Source organism: Homo sapiens, chromosome 3, assembly GCF_000001405.40.
Source record: "Homo sapiens chromosome 3, GRCh38.p14 Primary Assembly".
In the NCBI taxonomy this organism is placed as follows: Eukaryota; Metazoa; Chordata; class Mammalia; order Primates; family Hominidae; genus Homo; species Homo sapiens.
In genome coordinates this window covers 15,333,830-15,347,651 of record NC_000003.12, presented here as the reverse complement: position 1 = coordinate 15,347,651, position 13,822 = coordinate 15,333,830, and the positions used below count along the sequence as shown (strand labels likewise).

The 13,822-nt window shown below is 44.2% G+C and overlaps 1 protein-coding gene, 1 long non-coding RNA gene and 1 pseudogene across 2 annotated transcripts in view, besides 1 other annotated feature; 1 reads left to right on the top strand and 2 right to left on the bottom strand.

Annotated features, from left to right (window-relative positions):
- Positions 1-3,987: 3,987 nt before the first annotated feature.
- Positions 3,988-6,038, bottom strand: LOC124909348 (uncharacterized). Its single transcript, XR_007095830.1, has 2 exons — positions 6,008-6,038; positions 3,988-4,155 (listed from the first exon to the last, which is right to left on the bottom strand). It is a non-coding gene; the product is annotated as an uncharacterized LOC124909348 (long non-coding RNA).
- A 233-nt stretch (positions 6,039-6,271) lies between these two features.
- The window catches only part of SH3BP5 (SH3 domain binding protein 5), an 87,028-nt gene continuing 79,477 nt past the window's right edge, over positions 6,272-13,822 (top strand). Inside the window, exon 1 of the mRNA NM_001018009.4 lies at positions 6,272-6,429. The gene's annotated coding sequence lies outside the window, so the exon portion shown is untranslated. The remainder of the gene's footprint in view (positions 6,430-13,822) is intronic.
- On the bottom strand, positions 7,802-7,903 carry RNU6-454P (RNA, U6 small nuclear 454, pseudogene; annotated as a pseudogene).
- Positions 8,993-9,042: a silencer, noted in NCBI's record as "silent region_14105". NCBI's record gives its function as "represses an Ori minimal core promoter by ATAC-STARR-seq in GM12878 lymphoblastoid cells {active_cell/tissue: GM12878}" and the evidence as "EXISTENCE:reporter gene assay evidence [ECO:0000049][PMID:35858748]".

The following is a 13,822-nucleotide window of genomic DNA, read 5'->3' as shown; positions in this document are numbered from 1 at the left end:
CAGGTCTCTTGGATATCTGACAAAAACTTCAAAGTTGGTATGTTCGAAAAAGAACTCTTGGCTGGGTGTGGTAGCTCACACCTGTAACCACAGCACTTTGGCAGGCAGAGGTGAGGGGATCACTTGAGGCCAGGAGTTTGAGACCAGTCTGGCCAACATGGTGAAACCTGGTCTCTACTAAAAATACAAAAATTAACTGAGTGTGGTGGCACATACCTGTAATCCCAGCTACTCGGGAGGCTGTGGCATGAGAATTGCTTGAACCCGGGAGACAGAGGCTTCAATGAGCCAAGATCGCACCACTGCACGCCAGCCTGGATGACAAAGTGAGACTCGGTCTTCAAAAAAAAAAACTCTTGGTGCTTTTTCTCCCAATAAGCTCCTCCCCTGATCGTCATCTTCTTAGTTAATAATACCACCCTTTACCCAGTTGCTCAAGCCAAAAATGTAAGTCATCCTTGCTTCCTCTCTTTTTCTCATCCCCATATCCAATGGCTCAGTAAGTCCTGCAGGCTGCTTCTCCTGAATACATGTGCAAAATTCACACACTTGTGTTTTTGACTCTATCATCTCTCATCTGGATTATTGTCATAGTCTGCTAACTGGTTTCCCGGCTTTCATGTTTATCCTCCAGTAATCCATTCCCAGAGAGGATCTTTTAAATATGTAGGTGGGATATTGTGGCTCACTGGTTTAAAACCCTCTGGTGGCTTCCCATCACACTTAGAATAAAATTCAAACTCCTCAACAATTCTTATAAGGCACTCCATGACTTAGCCCAGGCATCAGTAGATTTTTCTGTAAAGGACCAGATAGAACATATTTCAGGCTTTGTGAGCCATATGGTCTCTGTTGCAACTGCTCGATTCTGCTATTAGATTCTACCATAGACAATATAGTAAACAAATGAATGTGGCTACTTTCCAATAAAACTTTATTTACAAAAACAGGCAGTGGGCTGGGTTTGGCCTCTGGATTATAGTTTCCATACCCCTGATCCAGCCCCTTCCTACCTTTCCAATTCCATTGCATACCACTCTGCCCTTCACTATGGCCCAGCCTCCTACTCCCCAAGGCTGGAGCCAAGATGGTGGCCACCAGTTTCTTTCCTTCCTATACGCTAATGTAATGGCCTTTGAATATGCTGGCTCCATGATTGTGTGTGATTAAATTAATGTTTCAGGACTTCTGAGCTGAAGCTTTAAGATTAGCAGCTTCTGCCGGGCGCGGTAGCTCACGCCTGTAATCCCAGCACTTTGGGAGGCTGAGGCGGGCAGATCACGAGTTCAGGAGATCGAGACCATCCTGGCTAACACAGTGAAACCCTGTCTCTACTAAAAATAAAAAAATTAGCTGGGCTTGGTGGTGGGCGCCCATAGTCCAGCTACTCAGGAGACTGAGGCAGGAGAATCGCGTGAACCCGGGAGGCAGAGCTTGCAGTGAGCCAAGAGCATGCCACTGCAATCCAGCCTGGGCGACAGAGCAAGACATTGTCTCAAAAAAAAAAAAAAAAAAAAAAAAAGATTAGCAGCTTTTGCTATCTTTCTTGGAATCTAGCTACCATGCTGTAAGAAACCAAAAGCTTCACAGAGAAGACACATGGAGGAGAACTGAGGAGCCCTGGGCCATACATAACCCCAGGTGAGCCCCCAGCCAGCAGCATTGACTGCTGGCCATGTGACTAAGCCATCTTGGATGTTCCAGCCTAGTCAACCTTCCACGTGACGGCAGCCAGCTAGCATCACATGGAGCAGAACTTTCTAGCTGAGTCTAGTCATTTTACAGAATTGAAGAGATAAAACAGTTATTACTTTTAGCCATTAAGTTTATGACGTTTTGTTTTGCAGCAACAGATAATGGAACACTGACCTTGTTTCTGTTCCTCAAACCTACCTAGCTCATTCCCCCATGAGCACCAGCTGCTCTCTCTGCTTAGAACACATTTTCACCCGGTGATTCACTTGGTTGGTTCACTTCATCTTTCTATTACTTATTTATTTTTCAAATAGATTCAGAACCAACACACCATTTCATTTTCAGGTCAACCTGTAGCACCTCAGTTTTCCATTGGAAAGCCACCCTCTCTTTACTTTCAGCCCATGTGGCTGAACATCCTCTTTTCTCACCCCACTCTCCTCTGGACTCCAGGGCAACTTGTAATTGAGGCGAAGCCAATTAGTAATTTTACTCCCTGCCCCTGAGTCAATAACTGAGGGCTTAGTTATTGATTCAGAGAGGAGTGTATGAGCCAACTCAGTTCAATAAGAGTTAGTCCCAGGAATTATTGGTGAGGAGAGACTCTTAGCTGGGGTTGTTAAGCTGCTTTAACATAAGCCTGGAGCCGCTAGTGCCCAGCTGCTTAGCACAAGGGGCAGGTGTGTCTGGGAAGGGAGCCAACACAGAGGAGGACAGGGCAGAGACAGAGAGAGACTGCTGGATGTAACCATACCCGAAGCTAAATTTACTTGAGCTTTTCAGTTACACGAGCCAATATGCTTTCCACTCCACTAATAAATACCTCTCCTTCCCTTTGGTGAAGTCAGTTTGAGATGTGCTTCTGTCACTTGCTCTTAAAATATCAATTGCTTGACTCATCCTCTACCTTTTCCACCAAATATTAGGTTGAACCATATGAAATTGCCATTCTTGTAGATTAAAATGACTGAATAACAGTAATTTTATATGCAAATTTATTCAAACACTTCCAGAGATGGGGCATTCACTGCTTATTGAGGCAGCCCAATTAACAATTGAACAGATTTACCCAATAGAATGTTTTAAAAAATTTGTCCAGGTGCAGTGGCTCACGTCTGTAAGCCCAATGCTTTGGGAGGCTGAAACAGGAGGATCATTTGAAGCCAAGAGTTCAAGACCAGTCTAGGCAACATAGGAAGACCCTTGTCACTACAAAAAAAATTGGTGGCACATTCCCGTAGTCCTACCTACTCAGGAGGCCGAGGCAGGAGGATCGCTTGAGTCCAAGAATTAGAGTTTACAGTGAATTGTGATCACATCACTGGACTCCAGCCTGAGTAACAGAGTAAGACCCTGTCTCTATTAAAACACACAGACATACACACACACACACACACATACACACACACACACACACACCCCAAATCCATCTTCCTGAGGCTTCTCAGTTCTGAGCACTCTCCTCTGAGCACATTTCATGTATTGTGTAGCATTTGACAACAAAATATCAAGAGGGAGGTCCCCCCTCACAGGCAGAAAAACACGAGATTATCACCTTTTTATTATAGGCACAATGCTTGTAGAAATGCGTTCTAAAATGTCTAACTTTTAAAAAATGTGCTGCTTTAAGCCATGTCTTCTCTATCTTGTTCTAATTTATTTCAAACTAAGCTCAGGACCTTACAGTTTACTCCAGTGATCTTTACCATCTTCAGTTTTGTGCACCACCTTTCCCTTTTTTTTTGAGACGGAGTCTTGCTCTGTCGCCCAGGCTGGAGTGCAGTGGCGCAATCACCTTTCCCTTTTAAAGCCAAGCTTCTGTCCCCTGCCCATTGGGTCAAAGTTTTTATTCATTATTCTCTCCATAGTTGTTAGGATACAACAACACAATGCAAATAAAACGCCAAGATATTTGTGAATCACGATTGTCCAATCCAGGGTGGATTTTGCAAGCTTGGGAAGTGAGCATTCTTTATATTCATCCAAGTCATTACTACAAATGTTGAAAAGGACAGAACTGATAATAAAGCCCAAAGGAATATATATGGTTGGACAGTGATTCATTAACCTTTAGGTTTGGTTTTTCAGTCAGTACTACTTCTCTGACCTAGGTCAGCAACCATCCTTGTTTCTCAGCCTTGTCTACACAAAGTAATAGTGTAGTCTACATGAAGTAATAAATATCTTGCTGAAATATATAAGGGGCTCCTCATTATTGAGTATTCATTATCCCGTTCCTGAAGTTAAGTAGAGCAGTGTGTCCTTTAGGATAGACCGAGCCACCGTAACAAATAGACTCAAATGTTTAATGACTCTAATGATGGAATGTTATTTCTCGCACAGGTAACAAGAAATCAGGGTACTCAAGTTGGTGGGGGTGCTATCCTCCATGCAGTCACTCAGGGATCCAGGTTGTCTCCATCTTGTAAATCTGTCATTCTCCAGGGCCCTCACTGTCATCTGCATCCAGTCAAAGAAGAGGAAAACACACAAAGGAGCACATGTAGGCAATTTTTGTCAGACAGGCATGAAAGTGGCATGTCACTGCTGTTCACTTTGTCACAAAGCCACACCTAGCCAAATGGTAGGTAGGGAAATGCTGTTGATTTTATTGCTTAAGGAAGGGGAGAATGGATTTGGTGGACAGCTAGTTATCTCCACTATAGACAGCTAACATCATTGTGACACAAAATTAATCACTCATAAACTGACTACATATCCATTCCTTTCAAAACCAAGCTTCCACCGCTGCCCATTGTGTCACAGTCTTTGTCCATTATTTCCTCTATAGTTGTCAGGTTACAACAGCACAATGCCAACATAAATTACATAAAAATTGATGGCAAAGTGAAACTGTCAGTCTTGCAAAATAAGGTTTTAAAAAGATTAGGAAAGCAATTTTGGGGAACTGCCCTAATCATTTGCTAAGCCATTGACATATGAGGAAACAGCAGCATTAGATGAGAGAAAAATCTATGAGGATAAGGACCAAAAAGATACTTCAAATGAGAATGATTTGAATATCAAAGAGGTAAGAGAGACACCTGGGAAAATTAACAAAGACCTCAGCTATTTTTGCCAAAATTACACTGTTAATGATTGTGCTGTGAAAGTCAAATCTGAATCGACCAATTTTTTATTATATGATCATATAATTTTACCAGAAAAACATATGCAAAAAATTCCTCAACAGTTGATTGATTCATTTTTGTGATTATTGTTATTTTAAGAATCAGCTGGCTGGTGTCCTCTTGCCTGGCTTCCCCTCCAAGTCTCAATCTCTAAATGTTGGGACGCCCCAGAGCTGTGTCCTGGTCCTCTTTTCCTCCACATCTCCCCTATTCTAAGTGATTTCAGTCCCTTGATCTCATTCAGTCCCTTGGCTTTAAATATCATCTACATGCAGTCGACTCTTAAATTTATATCTGCAGTCTTGGCCTGTCCCCTGAGCTTCAGACGTCTATCCTACTGTCTACTTCACATCTCCACTTGAGTGTTTAATAGCCTGTCAGACTTGGGTGCCTGAAAACAGGCTTCTTGATTGCAAAACTGTTTCTTAAGTCTCCCATACCTCACTCTGTAAATGGCAGCTTCAGTCAGCTGCTTGCTCAAGTCAAAATTTTGAGTTATTCTTGATGTCTCTGCCTCTGCCCCCTCTGCCCCCACATCGGATGGAATTGCAAGTTTTGTTGGAGCTAATTTCCAAATATAACCTAAATCAACTCCAGTCCATCTCCCCACTACCATCGGACCCCAAGCCCAGGCAGCCACGTCTCTCACTAGGGCCCCTGGGACAGCCTGCTGACCTGTATCCCTACTCCTGCTCTTGCCTTCATGGCCATTTCATGTCCACACAGCAGCCCCAGTGATCACTGAAGCAAATATACTGACTGTGTCATTCTTTGAATTCAGTCCCTTCAGTGCTTCCCATCACTTTTATAATAACTGTAAAAACTTATTATAAAACCTATTATAAAGGCTGGACATGGTGGCTCATGCCTATAATCCCAGCACGTTGGGAGGCCAAGGTGGGTGGATCACTTGAGCCCAGGAGTTCAAGACCAGTCTGGGCAAGGTAGTAAGACCCCATCTCTATTTTTTAAAAATAAAAAATAAAAATTAAAAAGCAAAATAGACTAGCTAGTGATAAAGATAATTGCTATGAAGAAAACAAAACAGGGTAATGAGATAGAGAGGAATATTAATCCATTCTCACACTGTTATGAAGAAATACCTGAACCTGGGTAATTAAAGGAAAGAAGTTGAATTGACTGACAGTTCTGCATTGCTGGGGAGGCCTCAGGAGACTTACAATCATGCTGGAAGGCAAAGGAGAAGCAGGCACCTTCTTCACAGGGTGGCAGGACAGAGTGAGTGCAAGCAGGGGAAATGCCAGACACTTATGAACTATCAGATCTTGTGAGAACTCATTCATTATCACGAGAACAGGATGGAGGAAACTGCCCCCATGATCCAATCACTTCCCACCAGGTCCCTCCCATGACACAATTCAAGATGAGATTTGGGTGGGGATACAGCCAAACTATATAGAGAGGGCTGGAGGACAAACTGTTCCAGATGGGAGTTGGAGAAAGCCTTGCTATGGATGTGACATTTGGGCTGAGATGTGGATGATGAGAAGGAGTCAGGCAGCCGTGCCCTGGAGGAGATAGCGATGCAGACAGCAGAAGCCCTGAGGACAGAGCCAGCTGACAGCCCATGTGGTGCCAGAGGGTGAGCGAGGAGGAGGGGCGGTGAGAGGAGGTGTGAGATGTGGGCACAAGTCAGATGAGGTGGGGCCTGGGAGGCCCCAGGGAAGAGTTTAGGTTTATAAAAGTGCTTTTATAGCAGCCTTTTTATAATAGGTTTTATTTTATTGTTTATTTATTTATTTATTATTTTTTGAGGCGGACTTTCACTCTTGTTGCCCAGGCTGGAGCACAGTGGTGTGCTCTCGGCTCATCACAACCTCCGCCTCCCGGGTTCCAGTGATTCTCCTGCCTCAGCCTCCCGAATAGCTGGGATTACAGACATGCACCACCATGCCCAGCTGATTTTGTATTTTTAGTAAAGACGAGGTTTCTCCATGTTGGCCAGGCTGGTTTTGAACTCCCAACCTCAGGTGATCCGCCCGCCTCAGCTTCCCAAAGTGCTAGGATTACAGGTGTGAGCCACTGCACCTGGCCTAATTTTTTTTTATTTTTTGAGACAGGGTTTCTCTCCTGTCACCCAGGCTGCAGTACAGTGGCGCGATCTTGGCTTACTGCAACCTCCGCCTATGGAGTTCAAGTGATTCTCCCAATTCGGCCTCCTGAGTAGCTGGGATTACAGGTGCCTGCCACCACGCCTGGCTAATTTTTGTATTTTTAGTAGAGACGGGGTTTCGCCATGTTGGCCAGGTTGGTCTCAAACTCCTGATCTCAGGTGATCCCAAAGTGTTGGGATTACAGGTGTGAGCCACCATGCCGGCCTATGTTGCTTTTTTATGTATTTAACCATTTGTCTGTCTTCCCTTGGACTATAAGCTCCACTAGAGCAGATGCTTTGTCTCCTTTGTTCACTGTCATATTTTCACTTGCCAGAGGCTGTCACATAATAGATGGCCAATAAATACTTGTCAGATAAATAAATATTTCTTGTATTTTTAAAATACAAGAAAAATTTCTTAACATTATTTTAAGTTTTATCTTCCAGAGTAAAGTCCTAATAAATACCTTTCTTCACCATTTTAATATGGAATTTTGGCTTCCTTTATAAGTGGATTTATTTAAGTGGCCTTTTCCTGTACCATTTATCTTTGTCTATCTTGCCTATTTCCTTCCTTAGATTTCCTAGACTAATAAGCCATGGATAAGGAAGTGAGGGCTGTGCTGAGATGATTTGTTCTTGGTTAACCCAAGCTGGGTCATGGTGATGAGTCATTTTTCTTCTCGGGACACAGAAGTATTCTCTCCTCCTTAAAATCCCATTCTAGAATAGTGTCTGCAAAATGTTATGCTCATTGATTTGCAGGGTATAGAACTTTCTTTCTTCTTTTTCCCCCCTTTTTTTAGCAAAGGCCGTCACTTCAATAGGATCTTTCTTCTTCTTTTTTTTTTTAATTTTTTATGGAACACTTCACAAATTTGCATGTCATGGTTGTGCAGGGGCCGTGCTAGTCTTCTCTGTATCATTCCAATTTTAGTATATGTGCTGCCGAAGCAAGCACTCTTTCTTCTTTTTATTATTTATTTATTTATTTATTTTTGAGATAGAGTCTTGCTCTGTCACCCAGGCTGGAGTGCAGTGGCGCCGTCTTGGCTCACTGCAACCTCCGCCTCCTGGGTTCAAGCAATTCTCCTGTCTCAGCCTCCCTGGTAGCTGGGACTACAGTCGCATGCCACAGTGCCAGGCTAATTTTTGTATTTTTAGTAGAGATGGTTTTACCATATTGGTCAGGCTGGTCTCAAACTCCTGACCTCAGGTGATCCACCTGCCTCAGCCTCCCAAAGTGCTGGGATTACAGGTGTGAGCCACCGCACCTGGGCTCTTCTTTTTAGTAGAACACTTTTTCCATCTCCAGGATTCCAGCACCATCCTAAATATCTGTAGGTCCTGTAAGACTACAGATATACACTGAAAATCTCTTTCCTGGATTCTCTAGGTGCTGTGGCCTGTAATTCATCTGGGTCAAGAGACAAGTTTAATTCAATTTAGACACAAATAAAGGTTCTCCTTAGAGGGGAGTGGCCACATTGGAAGACAATTTGGCAACACACTGATGTCACTGAATCGCTAAATTAAACAGATGCCTCTTTAATGTGGAGGCTCTGATCCCTTTCAAAGAACTGGCTTCTATAGACTCTTGAATTCTTAGAACCAGTCATTTGGGGTTAAAAAATATTGTTGAAGGGTTTATGGTCTACCTTAAAATTCTCTTCCACCTTGCTATGTGCCATGATCCTTAGGGGTCGCTGGGAAGAGAAGAGAGATTTGGCAGGAAGACCTACGAGCCAGCTTTCCTGCAACACCTTACCATGAGGGCTCTGGGGAGAGGTCAGACATTTACCTGTGTGTGGCCTGCCAGGTGTAAGTGGTCTGCCAATAGGGTTCTGAGGTTAATTTGAGACTACATGCCATCCTAAAGGGGCCAGCCAGCCACTCCTCACATCTTCTCCACACTCTTGCCAATCAGAGATGTCTGCATTTTCATATTAGGTCACTGTTTTCATGTTTAGGTTTTTTTTTTTTCGGGGGACCTTGCTAGTGCAAGGGATGGGGGTGGGGTGTGGTGGCTGCGCACCCATGCATGAGTCCCTCCCCACCCCACACTGCTGCAAGCCTCCTTCATGTTAGTTTTAACTGTTGGCTCAAATTTATAAAGGCTATGTCAGCCAGGCAGCACATACCCCAGGCCTGATCCCACCAGTCGCTTCCAGTTTGCAGCCTCTGACCTAAAGTGCCACGTAAATATCACTGGTGGAGAAAGAGGGGATGCTAGTTATCAGTTTCTTCCGATATTGACACCAGAGTGTGATGTGAATGCAGATTCATTCTTAGTCCAGACAGCAGTTTCTGTTCTAGGAGTTAACAGGTAGTTACGAAGCATTTAATTTAATTTAATGTATTTATTTAGAAACAGGGTCCCTATCTGTTGTCCAGGCTGGAATGCAGTAGTGTAGTCTTGGTTCACTTCAGCCTCAACCTCCTGGGTGCAAGCAATCCTCCCATCTCAGCCTCTGGAGTAGTTAGGACTACAGGTGCACACCACCACACCTAGCTAGTTTTTGTATTTTTTGGTAGACATGGGGTCTTGCTATGTTGCCCAGGCTGGTGTTGAACTCCTGGCTTCAAGCAGTCCTCCCACATTGGCCTCCCAAAGTGCTGGGATTACAGATGTGGGCCAGCACGCCTAGCTCACAAAGCATTAAAAAAAAAAATTGGCATTGCAAGGAATCTTAATTTAAATGGCATTGAAATTTGACAGAAAGGGTCTTAACTTCACAATGAGGGATTGACTTGGCTGCTGCTTTGGGGCACTTTTTTTTTTTTTTTTTTTTTTTGAGTCAGGGTCTCACTCTGTCACCCAGGCTATAGTGCCATGGCACTTCCTTAGTTCACTGCAGCCTCGAGCTCCTGGGCTCAGGGGATCCTCCTGCCTCACCCTCCTGGGTAGTTAGGACTATAGGTACACACCACCACACTCCGCTAATTAAAAATTTTTTTTTGGTAGAGATGTGGGGAGGCTCTTACTATGTTGCCCAGGCTGGTCTTGAACTCCTGGCCTCAAGCGATCCTCCTCCCTTGGCCTCTCAAAGTGCTGGGATTACAGGTGTGAGACCTGGCCTGGGGCCCAGGTTTCATGAGGGCCTGTCTCCCCAAGTAAAGGACTAGGAATTTGTCATCTACATGTTTGGGACCCTCAAACTGGCCCCAGAAATAGTGTATGCATATAGTAGGGGCTGAAAAGTGTACTGAATTAATGTTGCTTTCTGCAGATCTAGATCTAAAAACAAAAAACAGAACAAAAATACAAATGAATTAATGTTGTTGATCACTTTCACTTGCAAACTTCAGTTTAAAAACATTAAATAAAAACTCTTGGCCGGGCACGGTGGCTCTCGCCTGTAATCCCAGCACTTTGGGAGGCTGAGGTGGGTGGATCAGGAGTTCAAGACCAGCCTGGCCAACATGGTGAAACTTCATCTCTACTAAAAATATAAATATTAGCTGGGTGTGGTGGCAGGCGCCTATAATCCCAGCTACACAGGAGGCTGAGGCAGGAGAATAGCTTGAACCCAGGAGGCGGAGGTTGCAGTGAGCTAACACCACCGCACTCCAGCCTGGGTGACATAGCGCGACTCTGTCCCAAAAAAAAAAAAAAAAAAAAAAACTAAACTAAAAAAAACCCCAACTCTTTGGCTGAGTGTGGTGGCTCACGCCTATAATTCCAGCACTTTAGCTTAGCTACTAAGTACAGGTAAAAAGTAGTAAGACTGTGGGATTGAACCAGGGTTGGGATTATGCCAAGTGCTTACAGTGGTCGGGGAGAAGCGTGAGGGAGTTGTGGTTGACTGTAGTGTGGTGATTTTAATGATGGACAATGGAATCTAAGCTAGATCAAATGGGAAGTGTGGACATAAGAGGGTGAGGGACTGTAAAAGAGTCTAGGGAGCCATGATGAAGCCCTGAATCAAGGGTTAGAAAGATGGGAATGATTTGGAGACTATACTATAGGAAAATCCACTCGTCCTTGCTGACTGGGTTCACTGGGACTCTCAAACCATAGGTGGGTCCTTAGCGCAACCTGGCGATTATAATATATTCCCATGGTCAACTCAGTCACCAACTGTCCCTGCAAGCTCTTTCACAAAGCCTCTCTCCTCCAACCTCCATTGCCCTCTGCCCCACATCCCCTCATTCTCAGCTGATGATGTGGCTCATTACTTTGCTGAAAAAACAGAAGCAATCAGAAGAGGCTGATCATCAGGCTAATGGATCTCCTTTGTCTCCTCTGACCCTAGCTCCTCAATGTCCACCGAGTCAATTTCTCATACACTAGCCAGAGTTATTACAGGAGCACTCACTCAGAACAAAATCCAAATTCCTTACCATGACCTAAAGCATCTCCGTGGCCTACCCACATGCTTGCCTCTGATTTCATCTCCCTCCCTCTCTCCCTGGCTGTCTCTGTCCTACCCACATGGATCTCCTTGCTTTTTTGCCAACACCCAAGGCATATTCCCACCTCAGGACCTTTGCACATGCTGCTGCAGTCTCTGGAGTGCTTTTCCCCCAAAAGTATATGTGGTACGCTTTCTCATTTCTTTCTTTCTTTTTTTTGAGACGGAGTTTCACTCTTATCGCCCACGCTGGAGTGCAATGGTGCCATCTCGGCTCACTACAACCTCTGCCTCCTGGGTCCAGGTGATTCTCCTGCCTCAGCCTCCAGAGTAGCTGGGATTACAGGCATAAGCCACCATACCTGACCAGTATGCATTATTTTAAATTTATCTTTAAATTCCACAAAACAATCATAAACATATCTTCCTTGTGAAAAATAAAAACATTACTGAGAAACTAACATTCCTTTGATCCCCTGCCCCCATCCCAGACAATCCTAGGCCACGCCCTGCTCCCTTTTTCCCAGAGGTAGCCACTCTTTACTGGGTATAAATCCTTCCAGGCCTTTTGCTATGCATTTATGTGCACTACATATGTGCCAATAGGGAATATATACAGTTGTCCCTTGATATCCCTGGGGGATTGGTTTCTGGACCCCTGCAATGCTAAAATCTGAGATGCTTATGTCCCCTGTAGAAAATGGCAGTGTTTACATATAACCTACATACAACCTCCTGTATACTTTATTTAATTTATTTTTTCATTAAAAACATTTTTTTTTTGAGATAGGGTCTCCCTCTGTCACCCAGGCTGGAGTACAGTGGCATGATCGGGGTCACTGCAGCTTTGACTTCCTGGGCTCAAGTGATCTACCTCAGCCTCCAGAGTAGCTGGAACTACAGGCATGTGCTACCATGCCTTGCTAATTTAAAACAATTTTTATTAGAGATGAGGTGTTTCTTTTTTCTTTTTTTTTGAGAGAAAGTCCTACTCTGTCGTTCAGGCTGGAATGCAGTGGTATCATCTCGGTTCACTGCAACCTCTGCCTCCTGGGTTCAAGCGATTCTTCTGCCTCAGCCTCTCGAGTAGCTGGGATTACAGGCATGTGCCACCATGCCCAGCTAATTTTTGTATTTTTACCATGTTGTCCTGGCTGGTCTCAAACTCCTGACCTCAGGTGATCCACCTGCCTCGGCCTCCCAAAGTGCTAGGATTACAGATGTGAGCCACCATGCCTGGCCTAGAGACCAGGTCTTGCTTTGTTGTCCAGGCTGGTCTCAAACGCCTGGCCTCAAGCGATCGTCTCTCCTGCCTCGGCCTCCCAAAGGACTGAGATTACAGGCATGAGCCACCACATCTGGCCCCTCCTGTATACTTTATTATTTATATATATATATTTATTTTGAGACAGGGTCTTGCTGTCACCTAAGCTGGGGGGCAGTGGTGCAATCTCAGCTCACTGCAACCTCTACCTCCTGGGCTTAAGCAATCTTCCCATCTCAGCCTCCCAAATAGCTGTGACTACAGGCATGAGCCACCACACTTGGCGAATTTTTTGTATTTTTTGTAGAGATGGTGTTTCACCATGTTGTCCAGGCTGGTCTTGAACTCCTGAGCTCAAGCAACCCACCCACCTTGGCTTTCCAAAGTATTGAGATTACAGGCATGAACCACCATGAGCAGCCCCTCCTGTATACTTTAAGTCAGCTCTAGATTTCTTACCTGCAATACCTAATACAATGCAAATATGTACATAGTTGTCATATACTGTATTTTTTTTTTTTCTAGAGAGCAAGGCAGTCTCGCTTTGTTGCCCAGGCTGGTCTGGAACTCCCGGCCTCCAGTGATCCTCCTTGCCTCAGCCTCCCAAAATGCTAGGATTACAGGTGTTAGCCACCACTCCTGGCCATGTATTTTTAAATATGCATTTTTTTAATTGTTGTGTTTTTTTCCCCCAAATATTTTCTATCTGTGGTTAGTTGAATTTACACATGTGGAACCTGAGAGGCTATGGAGGGTTGACTGTATATAGTACTGCCTGTGGTTTATTTATTTTTCTCATTTTATCTTTAGAAAGACTATTAGGATTAACACTATAGCTGGCCCAGATCTCCAAAAAATAAGACAACAAAAGTCTGAACTGATGTTCTTGAGCAGTTGGCCTATGTCTCATAGATGTATTTTGCTCTTGACCTAAGCTTAAGCAGGAATGTAGTTTGGAGTTTGCCATTTAGAATGGAGAGGATAGGGTTCTGCTAGCTGAGAAGCATTTATCATAGTCAGGGCTGACCCCAGAGTTCTGTTTATTTCAAACTCTGTCTCTCAGTTCATTCAGAGCTAGGATGTACCTGCAAAGTTGGAGGCTCAATTCCAAGCCACCAGAGAAGGTTGGTGGCTCCTGTGTTCCAAAGTGACCCCTATGGCTATCTTGTTCCTGGCTTCATCTATCATTGGAAAACCAAAAGCAACTATGTCTTTAGCAAGGAGCTTTGAAGCACCTCTCACAGAATTGCTGACTCATCCT